Source organism: Homo sapiens, chromosome 21 (assembly GCF_000001405.40).
Source record: "Homo sapiens chromosome 21, GRCh38.p14 Primary Assembly".
Classification (NCBI taxonomy): Eukaryota; Metazoa; Chordata; class Mammalia; order Primates; family Hominidae; genus Homo; species Homo sapiens.
The window spans coordinates 35,102,348-35,106,150 of record NC_000021.9 but is presented as its reverse complement, the minus strand read 5'-3'; the positions used below and the strand labels follow the sequence as shown (position 1 = coordinate 35,106,150).

At 41.9% G+C, this 3,803-nt stretch overlaps 1 annotated feature.

Moving 5' to 3' along the window:
- Positions 742-920: a silencer, noted in NCBI's record as "fragment chr21:36477528-36477706 (GRCh37/hg19 assembly coordinates)". NCBI's record gives its function as "represses an EF-1alpha promoter that drives an FKBP-Casp9 reporter gene in an ReSE screen in HepG2 liver carcinoma cells {active_cell/tissue: HepG2}" and the evidence as "EXISTENCE:reporter gene assay evidence [ECO:0000049][PMID:32094911]".

The window sequence follows — 3,803 nt, the reverse complement described above, 5'->3', positions numbered from 1 at the left end:
ATGAGTTTCCAAATGTCCTTTGAATACTGGGGGCACGTATAGTTGAATAGCCATGGGGAGAACTAGCTATACATTGGATCAAATGGTGTCCACAGTCCGTGTAGATGTCCAAGGAGCTGATGCCGTACAGTGAAGCAAGGTTAAATTTGCAGTATTAAATTGAAGGACTACCAGGCACGGTGGCTCACGCCTGTAATCCTAGCACTTTGGGAGGCTGAGGCGGGTGGCTTGCCTGAGCTCAGGAGTTTGAGACTAGGCTGAGCAACATGGTGAAGACCCATCTCTATTAAAATACAAAAAAAAAAAAAAAAAAAAATGGCCAGGCGTGGTGGTGCCTGGTTGTAGTCCCAGATACTCAGGACACTGAAGCACAAGAATTTGCTTGAACCCTGGAGGCAGAGGTTGCAGTGAGTCGAGATAGCACCACTGCACTCCAGCCTGGGAGACAGAGCAAGACCCTGTCTCCAAAAATAAATAAATAAATTAATTAATTGAAGGACTGGTGTGACCTCTGTACACATACACACAGTCTGCAGGTTTGTGTTTACACATATAGGTTGTATGTACACACACACATATGATATTGAAAAATCTATGCCTATACATAGACACAGGGAGCATTGACTCTGAAGCTAGACTGGCTGGATTTGTACTCTAGCTACTTCCCTTAAGAGGTGTGTGACTTTAGGCCAGGCGCAGTGGCTCACGCCTATAATCCCAGCACTTTGGGAGGCTGAGACAGGCAGATCACTTGAGGTCAGGAGTTCGAGACCAGCCTGGTCATCATGGTGAAACCTCTTCTCTACTAAAAATACAAAAATTAGCCAGGCATGGTGGGGCGCACCTGTAGTCCCAGCTACTCGGGAGGCTGATGCTGGAGAATTTCTTGAACCCAGGAGATGGAGGTGACGGTGAGCCAAGATTATGCCAGTGCACTCCAGCCTGGGCAACAGAGTGAGACTTCATCTCTAAGAAAAAGAGATGTGTGACTTAAAATATTCAACCTCTCTGTTCCTTTGTTTCCTCATCTGTCTACCTCAAAGTGTTCTCAAGAAGATAAGACGAGCTAGTATGCTTAAAGGACTTAGGACAGTGGCTAGCGGTCAGGGAGTGCAGTAGAAGTGCTTATTAAATAGAATGCTCCCTCTCAGTTAAGAGGGAGATATGGCCTCTGTCTCTGGCTGAGCAGCCATGAGTCCAGCTACCTCAGAGGTTCTACCCCTAAAAATCTACAGATGGATTGGGTTAGTGGGGGGTGACCAGTAGCCTCTGCCATGCCTGTACCATAGGTCTAACTTTTATTTTTATTCATGTGAATATGTGAGCCCCTCAGGAGACAGCAGACTCCACTGGGTCAGGGACAGTTTGAATGTATTCCACTGTTTTCTCCCCTACATATAACAGGGTGCTTGGCCCATAATAGGTGCTTAATAAATATGTATTGGATATTTAATAGAATAACTACTACTATTGCTAGTGCTGTTGCCACTAATACTACTATTACTATTATCCTCAGGACGGGATTTAATTTTCTGCATCATAAATTATTGTACTGAAATAGGGGTTCCTGAAAATCATGTATAAATCGTGAAGATAACCTCCCAAAATGGTCAAATAATAATAGTAATAAAAAATAATGTTCTCCCTTTAGGTATTTACCCAGTAATGGGATTGCTGGGTTGAATGGTATTTCCGTTTTTAAGTCTTTGAGGAAATGTCACACTGTCTTCCACAATGGCTGAACTAAGTTATTCAACACTATTCACAATAGCAAAGACATGGAATCAACCTAAATGTCCATAAATAATAGTCTGGATAAAGAAAATATGGTACATATACATGATGGAATACTACGCAGCCATAAAAGAGAACAAGATCATGTCCTTTGCAGGGACATGGATAGAGCTGGAGGCCATTATCCTTAGCAAACTAACACAGGAATGGAAAACCAAATACCACAAGTTCTCACTTATAAGTGGGAGTTAAGTGATGAGGACACATGGACACACAGAAAGAAACAACACACAATGGGGCCTTTTGGAGTTTGGAAGGTAGGAGGAGGGAGACAATCAGGAAAAATAACTGTTGGGTAGTAGGCTTAATACCTGGGTGATAAGATAATCTGTACAACAAACCCCTATGACACAAGTTGACCTGTGTAACAAACCTGCACTTGTACCCTTGAACTTAAAAGTTTTTTTTTAAAAAAGTTAACAGTAATAATTAACTTTGTTGTATAGAACAATAGAATAATAAATAGAAAATAAGGAACTTTAAAAGTCAAAATTAAAAAATAAAGAATAAAAATAATCGAGGCTTTGTTCTGCAAAATGTGTAGTATCAAATAAATATTGGGAAAGTTTACAGAGAAAAATAATACTAGTGGTGTCAAGTAATTCACAGTCAGGAATAACTTGAAGAGGCACAGAATGAGTGATTATGTTCATGTACCAAATGAGTAGGGATAAAATATAGTTAACAAATAAAATGCATGTTGGATATTAATGCAGGAAGGTAAACACCATTATTTGCCCTCACCAGGATATAAGGAAGCAGGTTTTTAATTGGCCTAGAACACCAAGGTCTAGGAAATGCCATGTTCAAAAGAAATAGGATCAATAGCTAAGCCAGTCAAAGCCATATACACCTGGAGTGAAATGTGTGACCATGATGGAAGAATGTGCACAGAGAGTTTGGTTGAAGATTAAAGGAGGGAGGGAGAGTGGGACGATGCTGGAGACCACCCATCCAGATGGAGGAAGCACTGATGTTTTCCAGGCATGGATCAAACAGCACAGATGCTGCCAGAGAGGTTGGGTGACTGCAGAGGGAGGGGCCCGGGTGCAGGGAGCCCACAGGGACAGCTGCTAGAAATCGACTTCAGTCCAAAGAGGAAGCGAGGCAGAGCTGCTTCTCTGGATCTATTCTAACCAAGGAGGAAGTGACGGGGGCCCTGGAGATAAAAGGAGCAGGTTACTCTAGAGCCTCCCACAGCCAACCATGGGTGAGCTGGGTATTGTCAGGTGGGTGACCGCCTTTTGAGGAGGCAGAACTCTAAAAGCTTAGAGCAAAGATTGGTGGAATTCTAAGACGTGAGCATGAAACAAGTCTGGAGAGGGAAGGGTCCTTGTTCATAGCACAATCCCGACTGGGAAGAAAATGGGGAAGTATCTCAAGAGGTAGCCAAACAGGAAATTCTCTGGTAAAGTCAGACGTAAGAACACTTGTACAAAAAAAAAAAAAAAAAGGAAAGAAGATGAACATAAATGCAAGTAAGAAATAGTGTTGAGAATCTTTGTGCTTCAAAGAAGTTTGCAAAATTTGCTAAGACCTAAAATGAGAGTCAAGTAAAAGAACAAAGGCAGGACAGATCTTCTGTAAGGGCAGCTAATATATAATGTAAACAGACAACAGAGAGAAAGGATAACAGCTCAACTGGGTTACATTAAACAAGTACTGACTGGCTGTCTTCTCTGTAAGCCACAACCAGACATAGGGCCATGACCCTGCTCATGAGGAACTCATGGGCCAGATAAGGAAAGTATACAAAGAACAAATGATGATCAGGATGGTAAATTTCCATAGTATTGGGTATCTCTAAATGAGAGAGTTCAATTGGTTAAGGGATTCATTTAGGAAACACTTCATCAAGGAGAACTCAGTGGTAGGTTTTGCAGGATTCCGATAGGGCTCTTGGATTGAGAAACACTTTAAAGAAAAGCAGAGGAAGAGAAACCTGTTGAAGATCATGAGAAGAAATGGTGGGAGGAGGAAAGAGTTAACCTGGAGTAAACTATCATAGA